The sequence below is a fragment of the Homo sapiens genome, chromosome 1 (genome assembly GCF_000001405.40).
Source record: "Homo sapiens chromosome 1, GRCh38.p14 Primary Assembly".
NCBI lineage: Eukaryota > Metazoa > Chordata > Mammalia > Primates > Hominidae > Homo > Homo sapiens.
Window position 1 is genome coordinate 66,908,053 of NC_000001.11, and position 21,828 is coordinate 66,929,880.

At 39.7% G+C, this 21,828-nt stretch overlaps 2 protein-coding genes across 37 annotated transcripts in view, besides 3 other annotated features; one reads left to right on the forward strand and one right to left on the reverse strand.

Annotated features, from left to right (window-relative positions):
• The window catches only part of DNAI4 (dynein axonemal intermediate chain 4), a 111,972-nt gene extending 95,168 nt beyond the window's left edge, over positions 1-16,804 (reverse strand). For all 11 annotated transcript variants that reach the window (XM_017002354.2, XM_047430752.1, XM_017002353.2 and 8 more), the window contains exon 1: positions 16,610-16,804. In XM_017002354.2, coding sequence (XP_016857843.1) covers positions 16,610-16,779 — 170 coding nt within the window. In that variant the 5' untranslated portion in view covers positions 16,780-16,804. The remainder of the gene's footprint in view (positions 1-16,609) is intronic.
• Positions 16,507-16,666: an enhancer, noted in NCBI's record as "active region_1167". NCBI's record gives its function as "activates an Ori minimal core promoter by ATAC-STARR-seq in GM12878 lymphoblastoid cells {active_cell/tissue: GM12878}" and the evidence as "EXISTENCE:reporter gene assay evidence [ECO:0000049][PMID:35858748]".
• Positions 16,807-16,926: a silencer, noted in NCBI's record as "silent region_973". NCBI's record gives its function as "represses an Ori minimal core promoter by ATAC-STARR-seq in GM12878 lymphoblastoid cells {active_cell/tissue: GM12878}" and the evidence as "EXISTENCE:reporter gene assay evidence [ECO:0000049][PMID:35858748]".
• The window catches only part of MIER1 (MIER1 transcriptional regulator), a 63,630-nt gene continuing 58,739 nt past the window's right edge, over positions 16,938-21,828 (forward strand). For 7 of the 26 annotated variants that reach the window (NM_001350530.2, NM_020948.4, NM_001146111.2 and 4 more), the window contains exons 1-3: positions 16,938-17,043; positions 18,090-18,190; positions 20,838-20,911. In NM_001350530.2, the coding sequence (NP_001337459.1) occupies positions 16,977-17,043; positions 18,090-18,190; positions 20,838-20,911 (242 nt within the window). In that variant the 5' untranslated portion in view covers positions 16,938-16,976. Of the gene's footprint in view, positions 17,044-17,280; positions 17,483-18,089; positions 18,191-18,281; positions 18,321-20,834; positions 20,912-21,828 lie in introns of those variants that run through there. The other 19 variants (XR_007062438.1, XM_047426255.1, XM_017001924.2 and 16 more) reach the window with 10 other exon arrangements.
• Positions 16,957-17,236: an enhancer, noted in NCBI's record as "active region_1168". NCBI's record gives its function as "activates an Ori minimal core promoter by ATAC-STARR-seq in GM12878 lymphoblastoid cells {active_cell/tissue: GM12878}" and the evidence as "EXISTENCE:reporter gene assay evidence [ECO:0000049][PMID:35858748]".

Below are 21,828 nucleotides of genomic sequence, written 5' to 3' on the forward strand. Positions count from 1 at the left end.
TCTTACCATACCTTTCCCTTCATTTCAGCATACTTGCTGGCAAAACCAAAATCATGGTTATTTCCAATTATCCTCTTACTTTGAGCCTATACCTGTATATTAACCATGTTTATAGTGTCTGTAAATTTGATACTGTAACATCTGACCTACATGCATGGGTCAAACACATGCCCTATTCTGGACAACCTGATGCTATGCCTAAGTTACCTTGTCTTGGCCTCTGGCCTCTCTTCTTGCCTCCCATCCTCTTTACTAAGAGGAGTCCTCCTCCCAGGCATGCACTTGTCAAATGCAAACTAAGCAATCCAGAATCCACACCATTATGGGGTTTTTACACTCTGTGCCACTATACCTGTCCTAATCACCCCATGGCCAAATCTCAGACCAAGAGGGGCAGCTCCTGTGCCCCAGAACCTACTGAGATTATTCAAAGTAGCTAATCTTAAAGTTGTCTATGCTGCTTCACTCATTACTTCTGGGTAGTCCCCTGTGGTGTGGTGGGCCCCCTCTTCCTTGGAACTGTGAATAATAAACTATTTTTTCAATGGCAATGACTTCCTATCTATTAGACTAACTATACCCTAAATTTTGCAATAATACACTATATTTTAACTCAACCTGTGCAGCTAAATGAAACTGGAAGAAAAATACCCAACTATGATGACAGGTCTCACTTTAAATTATGGGTCATTAACTTAATCAAGGTCCTTAATGTGCCAGCAATCTGTATTTTCTTGGTCCATTTTTTACTACACTCTTTAAGGCTATCTTATACCTTCTCTTTCTTCAAATATGAAAACCTCCTCTCACATTTTCACTCTCAGCCATCTGAATGAGAAAACTGAAGCAATCTGGTAACTTCTTCATACTCCCACTGTCACATCTATGCACTTGCCTATATCTGTGCCTATATTCTCTATTTTTTTCTTGTTACTCTGAATGAATTCTCTATTATTGCAGTTCAGGTCACTCCCTCTACATGCATACCAGATTCCATTTTTCTGCCTATTCACGGACATTGCTCTAGCAGTTCTCTCTCTGCATCATAAGTTTTTCTCTCTCTATTGGATAATTACCTTCAGCATGTAAACAAGCTGTTATTTCTCCCATCTTAAACAAACAAGAAACTTCTCTTTACTTCACCTGTCTTTCCAGCTATCAGTCATTCATGTTTCCTTTAATTACAGCAAACCCTTGGGAAAAATCTCCTATTTATTGTTGCCACCTCTCTCTACACACACACACACACACACACACACACACACACACAGTCTCTCTTGAATAGAGTCTGATCAGGTTTTTGCCCTTATCATTCCATCAAAAGGATTATTACCAAGGTCCAATCACCTCCACAATACTAACTCTAATAATGGTCATTTCAATGTTTTCATCTTTCTTATCTGCAGCATTTGACCCAGCTGTTTATTCTTTTCTCTTTTTTTTTTTTTAACTTGGATCGTAGGACACTCTCTTTGCTTGGTTTTCCTCCTCCCTTTTCTGTGGCAATCATCCTTGCACTTCTCTTTTCTATTTACATTCATAGTCTGGTTAACTCATCTAATGCCATGATTTAAAAGTAATCTATGTGAAAATTATTCCCAAATATATGTATATCTCTAACTAGACCTCTCCTCTGTATATCTGCTTGCCTACTTGACATCACTAATGGAAACTTAGCATGTCCAAAACTAAGTTCCTGACATTAACCTCCACCACCACCACCACCACATCACCCTCACCCCATCCAGCAAATCCACTCCTCTTGCACTCTTCCCTATTTTTGTTAAGGGCAACTTTACTCTTCCAGTTGCTTGGGTGAAAAAAAATTTCAAAATACATCTGGAATCCATTCATTTGTCACCACTCTTGTTGCTACCATCCTGGTCCAAACACTATCCTATCTCTCTTGGATTATTGCAATAGCCTTTCGCTTCATCTTCCTACTTAACCTTGATCCCCTAAAGTTTATCCTCCACGTAACAACCACAATGACCTCTTTAAAACACATGTAAGGGTTGGGCACAGTGACTTATGCCTGTAATCCCAGTACTTTGGAAGATTGAGACAGGAGGATTGCTTGAGGTCTGGAGTTCAAGGTTACAGTGAGCTATGATTATGCCACTGTACTCCAGCCTGGGCAACAGAGCGAGACCCTGTCTCAAACAAATATAGAACAATAAGATAAAATAAAATAAAAATAAATAAAATAAAATATGACTACTCGAAATCCTTCATTTACCATCCCATTCAGAATAAAAGCCTAAGTCCTTACTATGACTTAAAAAATCTTACATGCATACAGCTAGGCCTCTGATTTCATCTTTCGTGATCTCTTCCTTGTTTACTCTGCTTCAGCCATAGTGGCATCCTTTATATTCATGCTGGGCACATTTTCATATCAAAGACTTGAATTTATGTTTCCTTTGTCTGAAATGCTCTTTCTCATACAGGTACATACTTAGCATCCTCACTTTCTTTAGGTCTTTAATGAAAAACTACCCTCTCCCCACCTGCCCTAATCACTCCATGGCCAAATGCCAGAACAACAGGCGCAGCCCCTGTGCCTCAGGCCTTCCGTGGCTTCCCTTTCTAAAATGTCAAAATTCTCTCTCAAGTACTTCATATCTTCTTGCCTTATTTTTCTCCTTAGAACTTTTTACTATCTAACATAGTATATCTTTAACTTATTTATCTTGTGAATCAGTTATTGCTTCCCCTTGGAATCTAAGTTCCATGAGGGTAGGAACTTTAGGCTCTTTCATTCCCTGTTGTATCCCTAATGCTTACAACAGTACCCAAGTGTGGAAAAAACATAAACTGTTTTTGCTCTGCTCTCAAACCACAACAATCAATACAGATTTCTGTGGCCAAATGCGTAGGGTTTCTCCCCACACACCAACTAAACAATCAGTTCCGCAGTGGATACCATCTGGTTGTCCTCCAATTCAATTCCAGCACTATCTACCTGAAGATAGTCTCAGATCCTACAGGCAGAGAGCTCAGTCCCATAAGACTACCTCTGACTTCGAATGGCAGTTGAAAAAATAGGTTGTGGCCTGTTTCTGAATGACCTGCTATAAAATCAGGGTTCCCACAACCCTCTCCTTGGGTTCAGTTAATTTGCTAGAGTGGATCACAGAACTCAGAGAAACACTTACTTTTACTGGTTTATTGTAAAGTATATTACAATGGATACAGATTAAAAGATGCATACGGCAAGGGAAGAGCCAGTAGCTTACATGCTCTCTCTGGGCACACCACCTTTTAGAAACCTCCATGTGCCCAGCTATCCAGAAGCTCTCTGAACCCAGTCCTTTTGGTTTTTATGGAGGTTTTATTAAGAAGGCATGATTGATGAAACTGTTGGCTATTGGTGATCAACTTAACATTCAGCCTCTTTCCCCTCCCTGAAGGTTTGGTTGGTGAGGCTGAAGGTCCCAACCCTATAATCATGCTTTTGTCTTCCAGATGACTAACCCCCATCCTCAAGCTACCTAGAAGGTACTAGTCATGGTCAACTCATTAGCATACAAAAAGACAACACTCTGGAGATTCTAAGGACCATTTGATCAAAGACCAAATAAATATTTATTTTACAATATCACAGTACATAATACAGTGGCTGTTTAATACATTTATTGAAACAATGAATAATCTCCAAATCATTATATCCAACTCAAAATATTGCCTTACTCTTCATACTTGTGAAGGAAGGAGTCAAGCTGAGAAATGCTCAGGATAAACCTGCCTTCCATTCTATTCAAAGTCATCCCTCTGCTCATAGATGCATATTTTTTTCTTTTCTTTGAGACAGAGTCTCACTCTGTTGCCCAGGCTGGAGTGCAGTGGCTCAATCTTGGTTCACTGCAACCTCTGCCTCCAAGGTTCAAGTGATTCTCCTGCCTCAGTCTCCCAAGTAGCTGGGATTATATGCCTGTATCACCACACCTAGCTAATTTTTGTATTTTCAGTGGAGACAGGTTTTTGGCACATTGGTCAGGCTAGTCTCAAACTGCTGACCTCAGGATCTGCCCGCCTTGGTCTCCCAAAGTGCTGGGATTACAGGCATAAGCCAGCGTTCCCAGCTGATAGATGCATTTTCTGATTGCCTCCTTTGGAAAGGCTTATCAGAAACTCAAAAGAATGAAGCCGGGCACGGTGGCTCACACATGTAAACCCAGCACTTTGGGAACAGATTACTTGAGGTCAGGAGTTTCAGACCAGCCTGGCCAACATGTGGAAACCTCATGTCTACAAAAAAAAAAAATTAGCTGAGTGTGGTGGGACACACCTGTAATCCCAGCTACTCGGGAGGCTGAGGCAGGAGAATCGCTTGAATCTGGGAGGTAGAGGCTATAGTGAGCCAAGATCACACCATTGCACTCCAGCTTGGGGCGACAGAGTGCGACTGTGTCTCAAAAAAAAAAAGAAACTCAAAAGACTGCAGCCATTTGTCTCTCACCTACCTGTGACCTGGAAGCCTTCTCTCTGCTTCAAGTTGTTCCACCTTTCTGGATGGAACCAATGTACTTCTTACATATACTGAATGATGTCTCATGCCTCCCGACAATGTATAAAACCAAGCTGTGCTCCAACCATCTTCGGCACATGTTTCCAGGACTTCCTGAGGCTGAGTCACGGGCGCGCATGCTCAACTTTGGCCAGATAAACTTTCTAAATTAACTGAGACCTGTCTCAAATTTTTGGGGTTCACATTTTGGTAACCACGAAGGGATTCTGAACGTGGATGCCCCTGACCTTTGACAAATTTCCTATCAGTGCTTGTTAACAGCATGAGCTAACTTTATGGCTCAAACCAATAGGACCATTTGCTGAGGTCTGAGAGCACCCCCTTCAGAGAATCCCTGATCTCCCAAAATTTGCTAGGGATCTAAAGTTTATTTTGCTGTACAACTCCCTTTTTTTTGGAGTTTTACTTGCTTCCAACACAAGAATGGCAAGTTTTTCCTGCTTCCGTGACGATGGAAGGCAGGTAACTCCTTTATGGAGTTTGAGCTTGCTTCCAACAGGGAAAATGAGGGTTTTTTGGTTTGTTTGTTTTTTCTTTCCTGCTTCTAAGATGGTAGAAAGCAGTCTTCAGCCTGAGACCCATCCCTAGGTAAGTAACTGACTTGGGGTTTTCCTTGGCTCAAGTTAAGATTAACAACCAGCTGGTCTTAATTTCTCCTCACAATTAGAGTGCTCAGTGATGATGTTGTTGGGGATTTTTGTTGTTGTTTGTTCTGGTTTGAAGTTGCTGTTTAAGGATCCTAATTCTAGTTCAAAGATGCATTCTACAAAGTCTTTATTGCTTTTTCTCCCAAATTTAATCTTAATTCGGTTTGTCTGTGTGCATTTGGATGAGGAACTGAACTGTTGTTTTCATATGTTAATGAGAGACTGAGTTTTCTCAGCTCCAAAGGAAAAGGGCATTTGCTCCTCCAAACTGAAAGGTGCCCCTGGGTACCCTGGGACCTCGTGGAAGTATCTGGGCAATTGTGGCCCTGCAGGGAAATCCCCAACAAAAATTAATTTTAAAAATGGCTTGCCCAGGAAATATATATAAGGGCTAATGACCCAGCATTTTGAGCCCTCTCTGAGGTCACAGACCTCTGGAGAGAGAAACTGAGACACAGTAAGAAGGTGGAGGCCGGGCGCAGTGGCTCATGCCTGTAATTCCAGCACTTTGGGAGGCCGAGGCGGGCGAATCACGAGGTCAGGAAATCGAGACCATCCTGGCTAACATGGTGAAACCCCATCTCTACTAAAAATACAAAAAATTAGCCAGGCGTGGTGGCGGGCACCTGTAGTCCCAGCTACTCGGGAGGCTGAGGCAGGAGAACGGTGTGAACCCGGAGCAGGCGGAGGTTGCAGTGAGCCTAGGTCGCGCCACTGCACTCCAGCCTGGGCAACAGAGCAAAACTCCGTCTCAAAAAAAAAAAAAAAAGAAGGTGGAAACGACTCAGTGGTGACACACAGTGGAGTCCTGTCCACAAACGGCACATATCAATCCACCACACAAAAACCCCAGGCCACAGCTCTGTTCCTCCTTTAGAAAAAAAATAAAAATAAAAAAATAAAAAGTGGGAAATAAATAATCTAAGAGTGAGGTGAAAACAAGCAGAATGCATCTTTCTAGCATTCCATAGGTTTCACGGCACCTCTACTTGCCAAAGTATACGTAAAATGGAAATAATATGGTCTTTGTGCACATTTACAAGGTCAACCTGCAAACTATAGAGTTCCTAAGTCCTCTTTTTCTCTATTTTTTTTCCTTTTCTGCCTGCTCTAAATCTGCTGTTACTTTTCTGTTAAGATAAAAACCAGTTTTGATCCAACAAGTTCTTTTAGCAAGCCAGTGAATTTGTATTTATCTCGTGGCTAAAAGTTCTGAAGTAAAAGCTATAGAATCTGTGTGTATGTGCATTAAAAAGACTTTTATAATTTCTACAATTTTATGTTTAATGGCAATTAAATCCGTTTTCATTTCCTTCTAGCACATAAAACTTTTTCTCTCCGCATCTTATAATGTAAATTTTGCTATCTGACTTTCACCTGAGTTGTTTCCTTTAACATGCACATTTAAGGCTATTTAGCTGACAACTGCCCAGGGTTGTGAAACAGGTTATCAAGAATCAGAAAATCTAAGATAGGAAAAAATGAAAAAAAAAAGGTTTTTATGAACCTATAAAATGTCCTTCTATTTGCATGCCTAATATGTCTATGTATCTATGTGTTGTGTACACAATGTTTCACTACTAAAAATATATAAAAGAGCTCTAATTAATTGGCTTAAAAATAAAAGCACTTAAATCAGGTACTAAAAAGGAAAAGACTAGTCAAATGCTTTTTCGAGTTTATGTAACTTAAGTAAAATCTTTAATAAATAAGCTAGCTTTAAAATTACTGGTAAAGTAACATTAGAAATGTCCTAAGAATTGCCAGCATACATTTTGTTTGCATTTATTAATCAAGCAATTTCATACTTATCCCTGACAAATACTATAAGGTGTCAAAATTTGGCAAAGGGTTTATAAAACCATAAACCCAGCCCAAGACAGAATGACCTTTGCTCTGTAATCTTTAATAAATAAGACATTAATATTGGCTTAATGAAAATAGCTCATCTTGAATTATTTAGTAAGATTACCATAACTTCTAAACCTGTGGCTTTAGGCATTCTAGTCCACAGGCAATAAGGAGGTTTGTTTTGGGAAAGAACTGTTATCATCTTTGTTTCAAAGCTAAACTATAAACTAAGTACCTCCCAAAGTTACTTTTGCCTGTGCCCAGGAATGAACAAGGACAGCTTGGAGGTTAGAAGCAAGATGGAGTCAGTTAGGTCATATCTTTTTCACTGTCTCAGTTATAATTTTGCAATGGCGGTTTCATAACTTTAAATCATGACTACTGCAGTTTTCATAGGTCATATAGGTAAACAATTAAAATAATTAGGTAAATGTAATGGAATAAATACTTGTAGACAAACTTGTCATAATTTAGAATCTAAGGTTATATTAAATTCAATAATTGATATTTCATTATTTATTTTCCAAAAAGTTTATATTGTAGAAAAACATTCTTGGTAAAAATAACAAAGAGTGTATCATTTTAAAAAAACGGTGAACAAGTTTTGTCTAATTCAAAGTTTATTTAAAGGTTATATATAAAACAAGGTAAAAGGAACCAGGAAATAACAGAAATGTAAAGAAAGTTATAAAAATAAACAGGTTTTTGTGTGGTAAGAAAGCTTAAAGAGAATAATTTTATATGAGAAAAAAAATCTTTGGTCAAGCACAGTGGCTCACGTCTGTAATCCAACACTTTGGGAGGCTGAGGTGGGCAGGTCACCTGAGGCCAGGAGTTTGAGACCAGTCTGGCCAACATGGCGAAGCCCCATCTCTACTAAAAATACAAAAATTAGCTAGGTGTGGTGGTGTGCACCTATAATCCATCTACCTGGGAGACTGAGAAAGGAGAATTGCTTAAACCCAGGAGGTGGAGAATGGGCAACAGAGCAAGACTCTGTCTAAAAAAAAAAAAAAAAAAAGAATCCCATATGGTAAATTTAGTCCTAAAATAAAATGACTGGTTGTTTAAGAAGGAGGGATGTTCAGGACAAACCAGAAAGTTCAAGCATATCATGAATAATCAGTGTAAATCACAAAAGAGGATTTATTTTAAAAAAAACTTTTATATGATCAAGTTGTCATATTGTTTTGCTTTGCTTACAAATAAAGAAATTGAGATTAAATTTTTTTTAAATTAAGGTTATTACATCCATGTATCTTTCTGTATCTACTCCTAAAGTACTTGTGACATTAAGTTACAGGGTTTTGACTCCTGGGTCTAAAAGGACAAGTCCTGCTAAATCTTAACACTGACAGCAATTAAAGCCTTATCTCCAGGCCCCATAGAAGATGCTAATCAAAATAAACGGCATCCCTGAGACACAGGGCCAATAATTAAAGCCATTCAACTCTTCAAGGTCCCGTGACTGTTGTGAAAGAGGTTGGAATGTGGGATTTTAAGGGCTGCTTTTAAGAGATAAAATAAGTTCAGTTTCTCTATAATCATTACTGTCAAAGGCACACTGATGCAAGACCAGTATATGGGCCCCTGTGTCAGATTAACAGGGTTTTCTTGAAGCATTAACCAACTCCTTAATAAAGGTTATAAAAGGCATTTGGAAGCTGTATTGCTTTATGTTATGGTCAAAATTAAAATTTTATAGTTTATAAAATTTTGAAAAATAAATTTAATTGGCTTCATGCTGTTTTAATTAGGGCTTGTTCAGAAAATTATGTCTCCTTTCTCAAAGAATGAAGATTTTTGCCTTTTTTTTTTAATTCCTTATCACTTTGGTTAAATGAATGACTTATTTTACAATGACCTATGATCCTATTTCATGGTATCAAGTCTTTTAAACCTTTGATATTTTACAAACTTTCCAAAATCAATTTATAAATTGTCTTTTCCTGACCTAATTAATCCTTTAAGATATTAGGTCCCCTAAAGTCCAAAAATGACATAATTTGGCTTATTTGGTATAAAAATTAGACAGGGAGCATTGTCAAATATGAAATGATGTTTGGTTTTCTTTGGGCTATATTTGTATAAATGTTATTGGTATGTGTTCCAAAATGATGGGAAACTCCTGTAATTCTGATTTAACTTAGTGAACGTTATCAGTAATTGTAATTGTTGTTAAATTATTGTGTGCCACAGAGGTAACACATTTGTCAATTGTGTCTTTGATTATGGCTGCCCTAAAATTTTTGTCATCCATGGACAATTGTTGTCTTGTTTTGGTCCTTTTTAGGTGGTTCTATAATCAACTATGGAACTCAAACAGGTGTTCTTAAATGCAAGTTTCTGATAACTTTGCAGATTGTGACATTAGAATAGAGGGGGAAAAAAACTTGCAGGATTCTCATGGAGAGCTGAAGTGTTCATGACTATCAAGCAGAACAGGAGTTAACTCCATAAACTGAACTGACAAGAGACTAAAGCAATCTTTTTAACTCTTGCTTTAAATGTTGCTTATCCTTTGTTTTTTAGTCTTCAAACTTTTCTTTTGAGCTATTGACAGCTTTTAAGAGTTTAGTATACTCCTATGAACAAAATTTTGAGCATATTTGTTTTTCACTACCTGATTTCTCCAGAATTTGGAAATATTTGTGAGTATTCTTAACTTATGGTAATACAGTCATTTGCACAAGTGCAATAAGAATCTGTTTTAATTCGTAACAGGATACAATTGGAGAAATTGGTTATTTTACCAAGGCTTTGACTGAAATAGTGTGCTTTCCTTTAAGGAATCAAACGTGACTTATGGAACCAATAAAGCCCTTGGAAAAACTGGCCTCATATTTTGTGTACATAGTCCCTGTACAGGGTTTCTGACCTGTGTTAAGTGAAGAATGTCACTTTCTGACAGGCCCAGAAGCCTCAGGTTTATCTTGGAACCTCAAGAGGAGAGGAAATTCACCCAACTCATAGGTATTTGATTGCATAAATCCATGGCTGGGCTTGGCTTTAAAAGAGTCTTATTTGAGATTTCTCCTATGAAAGTCCAAAAAAGCCAGTTTAAAAGCCTATGTAAAAATTTTCTTGTTGCATTGTATAGAAATAATTAGGCCAAGTATAATAAAGCAAACCAGTCGTACCATGATTTGTCTTTAGTAAAAATGGGAAACTGGAGAGAAAAATTATGTTTCAAAACTATAGTAGACCTGTTGTTAGATTCTAGTCTTTCCTAATGTTTTCTCAATGTTTATTATTTTCTACAGTTTGGACCAAATTCTAATTTTTCTTGGCCACAAGTCTTCAAAATAATGTTTTCAATTTTCTTCCTTCTTTTTTGCCCCATTTTTCCTAAGTTGGAGTCACTGAAAACTAAGCTGTGCTTTCTTAAAGCCCTGTGAACTGAAGCCAGACAACTTAAACTTCAGAAGAAAATAAACAGCAACCTATTTACATACATAAGCCACTTTCATACCTACTTACTGATGTATGGACTTCAGAGTAATATAGCCTATATCAATTTTTCCAGGGTTGTTCTTTTGTTGTTTTTCTCCCTTCCTCCCGTTTCCTCTTCATAGGACATGAGACTTCACAATCTGCTAAAAATGAGCTTTGGGACCTAACCCATCTAGGAACAAACTGTCCTAGCCATGAGAGATCAGATAAAACCTGAGACCAGAGACTCATTTTCTTCTAAAATGTTTTCTCCAAAAGATTTTTTTAAAAAGAAATGGGGGAAATGTAAAAGGAAAATATTTTGGGCCCCAAAATTACTAAGCTAAGGGAGAATTCAAGCTGGGAACTGCTCAAGACAAACCTGCCTCCCATTCTATTAAATGTCATCCCTCTGCTCACTGATATAGATGCATATTCTGATTGCTTCCTTTGGAAAGGCTTATCAGAAACTCAAAAGAATGCAACCATTTGTCTCTCACCTACCTGTGACCTGGAAGCCCCCTCCCTGCTTCAAGTTGTCCCTGCCTTTCTGGATGGAACCAATGTACTTCTTACATATATTGATTGATGTCTCATGCCTCCCTAAAATGTATAAAACAAAGACATGCCCTGACCACCTTAGGCACATGTTGCCAGTACTTCCTGGGGCTGTATCACGGGTACACATCCTGAACCTTGGCACAATAAACTTTCTAAATTAACTGAGACCTGTCTCAAATTCTCAGGTTCACATACTCATGTGAATAATTGACTACTAGATAGCTCTAGTCTAACAGCCATCTCAAAGTGAATATATGCACAATAAAATAATCTCACATTAACTCATAAAACAGTTCTTCCTCTATTTAAGGAGAACAAACACCTACCTTGGAAATTGGAGACAAGTTGAAAACAGAGAATCACAACCTACTGGGAGCAGAAAATGCCACTGAAGCCAGCAACTTAAAAGACAACTAGCTAACTACTGAAGACTTGAGTGTAGACTAGCTTGAGAGAGAAAATATTCTGGGGATCCCATGGGGGGCCCCTACACTTTCATGAGCTTTACCTCCATGTGCCCACAAAGTTCTCAGGATAAAGATTAAAGAAAAATTTCCTCATGGTTCTAGCAGGTGGATAGGAAGTAATCTTTCTAAAATATACCTAGAATGTTATGTTCTCCTTAACAAACACCTGCCCTCAAGGACAACTACTTTACCAGAGCCTAACTAGAGTTTTATCAGGGCCTGACTGACATGTGGGAATGGAAATACCCAACTCTGGCCCCCAACAGCCATCTTTTCACCCCAAAGAAAAAATGTACTGAAAAGCACTTGTCAAGTCTCATCCCAGGGACAAGGGCCCATTAAAACACTAAGAGCTAATCATAGGATTGTCCAACCCTTCCCCTCCCCCTACATCTTCCCACTGATAGGAATAGGAAGCAGGGAAATTCTGGGCAGAAGAAGGCAGGTCCCTGGCGAGGGCCCCACCCTCAAGCCTGGAATCATGGCCCAAAGTGAGAACATACATCTGTGTTTTCCTGCTTGAATGCTGCCTTTTCAAAACCACCCATGGCCCGCCCTGTCCCACTATCCTGCACCCATAAAAACCCCAGGCTCAGCCAGCAGAAAGAGAAGCAGCTGGACGTTGGAAGTCAGAGAGAAGTGGCTTGACTTCAGAGGGACAGCTTGATGGTGTAGCTTTGAAGAGGAATCTGGCTGGGGACGGCTGAACTTCAGGGGAAGATTACCTTCCCGTTCTGTCCCCTTTTCAGCTCCTCTTCCCACTGAGAACCACTTTCACACAATAAAATCCCCTGCATTTACCAGCTTCAACTCTCATGCGACCTCATTCCTCCTGGACACTGGACAAGAACTCAGGTGCCACGAGTGTGGGTGCAAAAGGCTGTCATGCTGACCCTCCACTGAGCTGTTAACACTTACGCTGTCTGTAGATGGCAAAGCTAAAAGGGCACTATAACACCTCCTCTGGGGTTTTGGGCATCGTGGATACCCTCCCCTAGATACTGTTGGGGAGTGAGTATGTAGTTTGCTCTTGAAGGTGCCCAAAAGCACTCACCCTGGCTCCTGCACCCACTCACCTGTGCTCCACCTCCCTCAAGGGGTGGAGCAGCGAGTGAGTGGAGTTCACCCCTGCCAGCGCCTGCACACTCCAGTTCCCACCTGTGAAGGAGTCACTATCCTGCTTCACCACCATATCTACAGGGCTCCTGTATAATAATTAGATTACAATGGAAAGAACTGCAAGGCTGAATCTATTTAAGGAGTCCCTAGGGAAACTGTAAAAGACAGAAACAAGGACAGTAGAGGAAACTGATGCCTTACACATTTACAACTAAACAGTAAACACAGCCTAATTCCTAGCCACACAAACATAAAACACACTATCAGCCTATTTAATCTCAGTTCATATTATCTATACAATATGTTCAGCTTTCAACAAAAAATTGTAAGGCATATCAAAAGGTACAAAAACAGTGTGAAGAGACAAAGCAAGTATCAGAACCACACTTGGATATGACAGATATTTTGTAACTGTAAGACTATGAATTTAAAATAATTGTGATTAATATGCTAAGGGTTCTAATGGAAAAAATGGATAACATTCAAGAACAGGTGAGTAATGTAAGCAGAGATAAAAACATTAAATAAGAATCAAAAGGAAACAAGAACATGTAAGGAATATAAAGGCACTGGACAGAGAAATAGGATGAAGAGGTGAACAATCAGCAGTTATTTTTATTGCAATGGGAGACTTGTCCAGTATTGTAAAGCTAAAGGCAAGAATCTAACACAGGAAAAGAGAAAGTGGAAAACTGACAAATATTTGCTTCATGAGATCCTTTCCAAGGTCAGGATTAAGTCCTAAAAGAAGGAAGATGAGAAATAACAAATTAGGCCAAACCAAAAGGTTGTAAACTTGTCTGTGAAACTTCGTTTTAATTAGGTAACATGGCTACTGCAAAAAGTGAAGGTTATACTACTTCCCGTCTCCCACCCCATTCTTTCCTTAATAGATGTTATGAAATTGTCAACATTTAAGAAACTCCCAAAGGAATTTTTCTTAGACATCATACTATGAGAGTTGGACAGTTTTTGTATTTTTCAATTTAATAAACTCAATTTAATTTTACATTAAAATTTCTATACCTTAAGGTGAAAACAAAAACCATACAAGATAAGCAGTAACCAATGTTACTGAAGTAAACACTCATTCATTCAGCAAATATTTATTCAGCACCTTCTTCAATCTAGGCAATGGATACAGTAGTGAACAAAACAAAAATCTCTGCCTTTTTGGAGTACTATCCTTAGGTGAAGATGGATGAATAAGCAGGTACACAATAAACTTGTAGAAATTTTTTTTTTTTTTTTTTTGAGGTGGAATCTCACTCTGTCGACCAGGCTGGAGTACAATGGCAGTGATCACGGATCACTACAACATCACCTTCCCGGTCTCAAGTAATCTTCCCACCTCAGCCTCCAAAGTAGCTAGGACTACAGGCACATGCCACCACGCCTGGCTCAATGTTTTGTAGAAATGGGGGTTTGCCATGTTGCCCAGGCTGGTTGTGGACTCCCAAGCTCAAGTAATTTGCCCACTGGTTGTGAACTCCCAAGCTCAAGCAATTTGCCCACTTCAGCCTCATAAAGTGGTGGAATTACAGGCATGAGCCACTGTGCCTGGCAGGAATAAATTTTATGGAAAAATTCAAGCAAAGGTGAGGGACTGAAGAGCTCCAAAGGTGAAGTATTATTACTTTATATGGGGTGGTAAAGGACTCTTTGACACAGTTACCTAAAGGAGGTGAGTCATGAGGTTATCTGGGGGCACAATATTCCAAAAAACTGCATATGCACAGGCTCCAAAGGGGGAATATAGTGTGTCTGATGTGTTGTGGGACAACGTGGGATGTAATTAGGCAAGAGGAAGAGTCTATAGTGAGATCCTGTGGGGCCCTGTAAAGAGTTTTACTGAGTGAAATGGAAAAAACTTGAGAAATGTTTTGAGCAGAACCACATTGATTACTACCTGGAGGGTGTTGGCAAGGAGACTATTTAGGTGGGTATCACAATGTAACACAGTGATTTACATGGGAGTGGTAGTCTGGATTTATTTGGCAGGTAGAAATGGTAAAATTTGCTTATAGAGTGAGGTATAAGATAGAAGTCAAGGGTAATCCCAAGGTTTTTCCCCTGAGTAAGTGAAAGAGTGGAATTTGCCATTTACTAAAATGAGAAAGATTGCAGTTAATTAGAAAAGACAGAAAATATTATATATTTGGTTTGAGATGTTTATTAACTTATAAGTGCAGGTGTTTTTTCTTAAAATCTGTTTTCTTGGGAGAGGTCTTAGCCAGAGATTAACATTTGTGAATCATCATTATAGGTGATATTAAAGACATCAGAGTGAAGAGGTTTATGGACTAACCCAGCAATACCAATACAGTCCTGGATCATCAACAATGAATCACATATACAATGGTGATCTGGTAGCAGAGCTGAAAAATTCCTATTGTCTAACAACGTTGTAGTTGTCACAACATTCAAGCACAAGACATTACCTTTTCTATGTTTACATACACAAATACTTAGCATTGTGTTACAATTGCCTACAGTATTCAGTACAGTAACATGCTATGCAGGTTGGTAGCCTAGAAGCAACAAATGCATTTTCATCATTATGCAAACACCATTTAGTGTACTTACACAAACCTAGATGTATAGCCTACTATAGCTTAGGTGTACAGTCTACTATACAATTGTAGCCTAGGTGTATAGTAGCCCATACATCTACGTTTGTGTAAGTACACTAGAAGATATTTGCAAAATGCTGAAATTGGCTAACAAGGTATTTCTCAGAAGGTATCACCATCGATGCATGACTGTATTTAGTTATGGTAGTGAGGAACAGATACCAGCAAAGGATCTGGGAAAGGTGAAACCATGAACCAAGACAAGAACTAGGAAGAGTGGTTTCTCAGAACCCAAATAAAGCTTTTCAAAGATCGAGAAGCGATAAACCCGACCGACACTGCTTCATTCAAAAAGAATGAAACTGTGGATCAGCCATTGTATTTGGTTGCATGGCTATTGCTGGCTTTCATAGAAGCTGTTTTGATGGAGTGGTAGGATGGACAAAAGCGTGAGTACCATATTCAAGAGAGAATGCAAGGTTCTCTCCCAAGAACTCTCAACAAGTTCCGCTGAAGAAAGATTAGCTGAGGTGGAGGAGATTGGAGAGGGGAAGAGAAAACAAATTACTTAGGGAATTTTGGGGGAACTTAGTGGGCAGCATTACGGGCAGCGCTAAGGAACCATTTAAAGTAAGACAAGTCCACACAGCTGTGTGCTTTTCTACAGTCTTGTTCAACTGCTGCATAACAACAGAATGTTGGAAGCAGGAATTAGTTTTAAAGTAAGATGGTATTGACGAGACGACAATAAAATACCTCTACTACAGAGCACAGCAATGTTCGGCCTGGTGGCTCACAGAAGCTGAGGCTCTTGAACGTCTGGGCACAGCATGAAAGCATCAAGCTTGAGAGACTGCAGGCCTTAACAAACTAGAAGTGCTAGAACGATGGTTCTAAACCAGGTCTTTTCTCACACAGCAAGCACAGCAATAGAGATTTATTTTATCTTATTTTTTAGACAGAGTCTCGCTCTGTTGCTCAGGCTCGAGTGCAACGGCACGATCTCGGCTTACTGCAACCTCCGCCTTCCGGGTTCAAGGGATTCTCCTGCCTCAGCCTCCCAAGTAGCTGGGATTACAGGCATGTGCCACCACGTCCGGCTAACTTTTTGTATTTTTAGTACAGACGGGGTTTCACCATGTTGGCCAGCCTGGACGCTAACTTCTGACCTCAGGTGATCCACCCCACTCGGCCTCCCAAAGTGCCGGGATTACAGGTGTGAGCCACCGCGCCCAGCCCAGTAGAGATTCTTTTAAAGACTGCGGTAGGTCGATAAAGGAGACATTGTGGCCTAGGAGCTTCAAGGTCTACAGACTGAACCCAGTTAGGGTAGGGCCCCTTTCCAAATCCAGAAATGGTATCTATTAATAGAAGGGCTCCCTCCGGGTCCCAGGGGGATGGACTACGGTTTTTAGCGCCGGAACTTACAACCCGAAGTTCTGCTGCTTGTGACTGCCTGCCGGAGAGACTGGCATGGTGGCGACCAGCTGGGGAGTGGTGCACCACCCCTTTTTTTGGCCGCCTCTGAAGTCCCTGTACCCCCAAGCTCCTCCGTTAGCGGCTCGGGCCGAGGCTCCGGAATGTTTGCCGGGCGTCATGGCGACGGTGGAGCCCTGGCTCAACAAGCGGCCGCGCGGTTGGCTGGCGGCACGAGGCCGAGGAGGAGGGCGGAGGCGGAGGGGAGGGCAGAGGGTTGGTGGAGCTGGAGGAAGCTCCGGACGACGACTGGAAGAAGGAGGCGGGCGGCCCGGGCCTCAGGCCCCTCCCAGGCTCTGAGTCTCCCGGCTGCAGGCGGATGGATGGGGCTTCTTCAGGCGGTGGCGGCAGCAGCGAAGGTGGCGGCGGCAGCAGCGGCAGCGGCTGTAAGTGCAGCCTCCACAAGCCATCTCTCCCCTTCTATTCCAGTTTGGGATGAGGGGCTCCTGAGGTGTCCTCAGTCCCCTTTCTCTCCTTCCCCTCCCCCACGGCAGTGTACCGCCCGGAAGACCCTTAACTTCCGGGGAGGGGCTGCCGCAGAACGCGCCTGGCTTGCTCTCCGCCGGCTGCCAAAGGCGCATGCGCAGCTTCCTCCCTCTGGCCATCGACTGCCTCCCAGCGCCGCCTTTTTGCCTTCGCGGTGGTGGCGCCGCGCTGGGAATCCGCTGCGGAGTGAGTTCGCCTCGCCCCGTTCGCTTCGGTCCCTGATCCCAGTCGGGGTGGGGCTAAGCTGACCACCCTGCTGTGGCTCCGCCTCTTTCTCCTGTATTTCCCTCACTTGTGTCCCATCCCCGGGAGGCTCTCGCTTGCACTGCAGCCTTTATGGTGAGCAGCGCCCTGGGCCAACTTGCCCTTTTCGGATGGAGTCAGGGAGGGAGGAGAGACTCGAATAGGGTATTACTGTAAGGAAACGAGGTCCTCCTAGCGCGTGGGAGGATCCCTTGGGACAGATGCCCGCCGCTCTTTACTCTTGTTCTTTCAGCTTGTAGTGGCTAGGTCCCTGGCCTGGAGCCTATCTGTGGTCCCTGCATGCTGTGTAACCTTGAGCGAGTCACTATCCCTCTCTGGGCTTCAGTTTTCCCTATTTAAAGCTTCCTCCAACGCTAGAATTCTGCATTTCTGCAGAAGAACTTATGTAATTACAAGATTGACTTGGCTATTGAGGCCGCTTCACCAAGATGACCCGGAGTTGACTGAACCTTCTTCACTTATGGGTGGAATGAGGCGACCTATTTATTGGGTCGCTTTTATTCCTTTATCATTAGTTACAAATTGCATGACTTAAGGCTCATTAAATGTTTTTCTAAAATTGTCATGGGATCCTTGTCCTGATTCCCGACCATCTTTTTAAAAATGCGAAACAGGGTGGATGGTGAGCTTGTATCATCGTTTCTGTCTCCTTGCTACTGAGGCTCTCTTTCCTTTGATCCAGATGGTGTGGTCGCTCGATTCTCCCAGTGCCTGGCTGAGTTTCGGACGTGGTTAAGAACCAACTGGTTGAGGTTCAATGCAGACAAGACGGATGTGATGCTGGTAGGCAGGGGTACACTTGGAGATTAAGGGAGGGAAAATCCAAACTCCCTCAAGTAATATAAGATTATATTACTCTTCTTATATGTTCCAGTGTTTGAGAACTGATGGGCCAAAAATTTCCAGAATTTGGGTGAGATAAAAATAACATGTCATCAATGTAAAAACCATAATCATAGTTTGTAATATTCTGATAAAATGGGGCCACTGGATAAAACTGTAAAAATTATGAAAAGAAAATCCAAAACTGTTATTTGAAGAACCAAAAGCCTATATAAGTGTTTTAGAGTGGCATTAATAACAAAAAATGAAACTAACGAAAGATGATGCTGATTGTCACTATAGATGTGGGGCTTCCAAATGTAATAGGCTAAGTTTTTTAGATGTAGGTATTTTCAACCAAATTAGTAATTATCCATAAAATTTTACCACCACATCATAAAGACATGGTGTAGGCTGTTGCTTTTAAATAAAAATTTCAGGAAATAGTTTATAAACTAATCTCAAAAGAGACTCATGGACGCTGAAAATTGTTAGATATAGAATTTTTTAGTTTTGGATGTGTTGTATTAATCTATTTCAGTCAGCTAACCCCAGAGTCTAAATTGTTATAAGTACAGTATTTTCTTGGTGCATTTTGAGAGGTACCTTTTTGGATTGCATAACAGATAGGTTTATATAGTATATATATATATGTTACTTGTATTTGAATCAGGTGTTGGTACTGAATAAAAGGTTATATTTCTTAGGTATATGTAAATTGCCAAAGAAGTTTGTTCATTGGTTCGTTTAAGGTACTGGTTGAAGTAAGATTGTGCTCCTAAATGCTTTTGTTAAAAGCATAATAATAACTGAGGGGTTTGTGTGTGCGTGCGCCTTATAGCCTCTATAGAATTGTTCAATAACTTTTGAATGGAAGATTCAGTAAATTGCTTACAAATGATTTATCAATATAATAGCAGTTTTGAGTAGCTTAATGTCATAAAAATTAATGTTACTTTGCCTGAAAATAAGGAGGCTTTTAGGTGGGGAATAGGAGCTGAAGAGGCATTTATTCAGGCTTTGTATAGTGGTTTTTTGTTTTGGGACATTAATCACAAACCTCACATAAAATTGGAATTCAGCACACTTTTTTAGTTTAAAAATTTTATACACAATTCCAACAGAACTACTGTTTTGGATATCACATTAATAAATAACAAAGTGTAATAATTTTAAGCAGACACAATTAATGGTGCATTTTCTTATGCCTTTAGCTCTCTCATGTCCTATTTTCAACTCTTCTAGTATGAATAGGCTTTAAAAATAAATTTTTTTTTGTTAACCCAAGTATAAATATTAACTGTTTGCATTTGGATACAAAGAAGATATCTGTTGAATTAATCCAAAGTGCTGAAGAACTAAGGGTAATGGATGGAAACAACAAGGAGGTAGATTCTGGCATAATAAAAGAAAGAATGTTTTAAACATTTGAACTTTTTTTGAAAAGAGCAGCCTTTTTATGAGATATAGTGAGTCACTGGAGGGGTTTAAACATAGGCAGAAAGCCTGGTAGTAGAAGCATGATGAGAGATTACTATCTTGACAGGGTAGAGAATTGACTAAAAGATCTCTAAGGTCCCATCCAACACTAAAATTCTATAACTAGTGAATAGTTAATTTTTATATATTTAATACTGAAGAGGGTAAGTAAGCGTTTTGAGAAAGACTTTTCATTCCGTAAGGTGGCTCCTGAAAATTTTACAGTTAGGTGTATCACTAAAATAAAATAATAGTGGAAGGATACTGAATTCAGTGGTAATGTGTTACCTATGAATTGCAGTATTAGAGCTGTTTCTTTTTTATAATATCTGAACCTAAAAAACCCACTGAATCCACATTTATAAAAAGGGGAAGGGGAAAAATGTAGAGAGTTTTTTTCCCTCAATAATAATAATACCATTTAAAACTAGTAATATTGATACACAATATTAATAAACTTAAAGAGTTATTTAACAGTAAGATAGATACCCATTCAGAAATGTTTCAGACTTCCATTTTCCTGACAAGTTTAGGATTCATTCAGTAGGTTAATAGACTATGATCCCCTGCTCTTTATCATAGTTGGGATTTCTGTTGGTAGTTTAACTGAAGAATCAAAGATTCAGTGTACTTAAGCAAGTTATTTCTGTACCTTGTATTGTAACACTTTTAATTTTCCTTTGGTAGCCAAATTTCATAAATTAGCTTTCATATGTTAATGGAAAACCCTCCTTCATCTCCATGGTATAAAGCCTGAGTTTGTACCTCTAGGCCCCTAATTGTGTCTGTACCCACCTCAGGTCCATGTATATCCATTGTTCTTTGCCTTCAGCTCTTTTCATTAAGTGTATTGATTGAAAACTATTTGGATATGAACTGACACTTTTAAAAAGTCATTTTTATTTCAAGTCCAGAGGATTGACATAATTCAACAGGGTAACTATTAGAAACTATATACCTCTGCTAAAATATTTATTCCCCCAAGGAATCCTGAAAAACACTTTTATATAAGTTTTCTAAAAAATAAAATGAAAATACTGTACAGTACAGTTAATGGTAAAAATTGTTTGTAGATTTGGGAACCTTAAAGTTTTCCTTTCTCTTCTTTCCCTTGCTTTTCTTTCAGTAGAAAATGTGCATCAGATGTTTATGTTTAATTGGTTTACAGACTGTCTGTGGACTCTTTTCCTGTCAAATTACCAGGTAATGTCCTTTCACTTAGCAGCTACTTCATATATCTGTAAATGCAGTTTATTCATGCACAGATTATTATTGGACATAACAGTTTCAAATTAACATTGAATCTTTGGAAATAGGAAAATGCTTGATAGAGTCTAGAATTTTAAGGGAATATAAATAATTTAATAGCCTCCCCTATATTGCATTATAAGTTAAGTATTAACTTTAAGAAAAATTGTATATGTACACATTTATGCAATGTAGTATTGGTTCACATTATTTGGAAGGAATGAATAATTCTCGTATTTAAATGGTTGATTTTGGTAGCCACTTTTGAAACTGCATTAAGAGGAACCCTTGAAGATTAGGAAAAAAATCCCAGTCTTTTGAAATAAAGACTTTCAAACTGGTTTAGTAAAATATGTTAGTGACTGTTTTAATGTCACCTTTGTGTTATTCAGTATGTGCCTTAGTATAATGGAAGTGAAACATGTTAGTTACTTTGAAATCATTGGTTCTGGCCATCATCAGCATTGGCATCACGGCCAATTGGCAGCTGTAGGCCAATACATTAAAATAAACTTTCAAGTTACAGGCATTTCAGGCATTGCAAATAAGTAGGTTCTCCCTCCATGCTACTAAATAGATGATATCCATAAAACAGTCAATTTTCAGTATTTTAAATTTTGTCTAGTTGTGCAAAATTCAGTACATAACTGTGTTGCTACCGGCATGACAGAAGTGTGTGAGAAAACGCAAATGACATGAGGATGGCGGACTGCCTATCATAACCCCTTCCATTAATTTTTGCTCTGACCTCTCTAGAGATTTGGGGATATAGAATTTTACATTTCCTGTCGGGAATCTACTGATGGAGAAATATTTGTCAAGGCATAACCGCTTTCAAAGCACAGTTCTTGCCGCCGTTGCATCACAGCAAC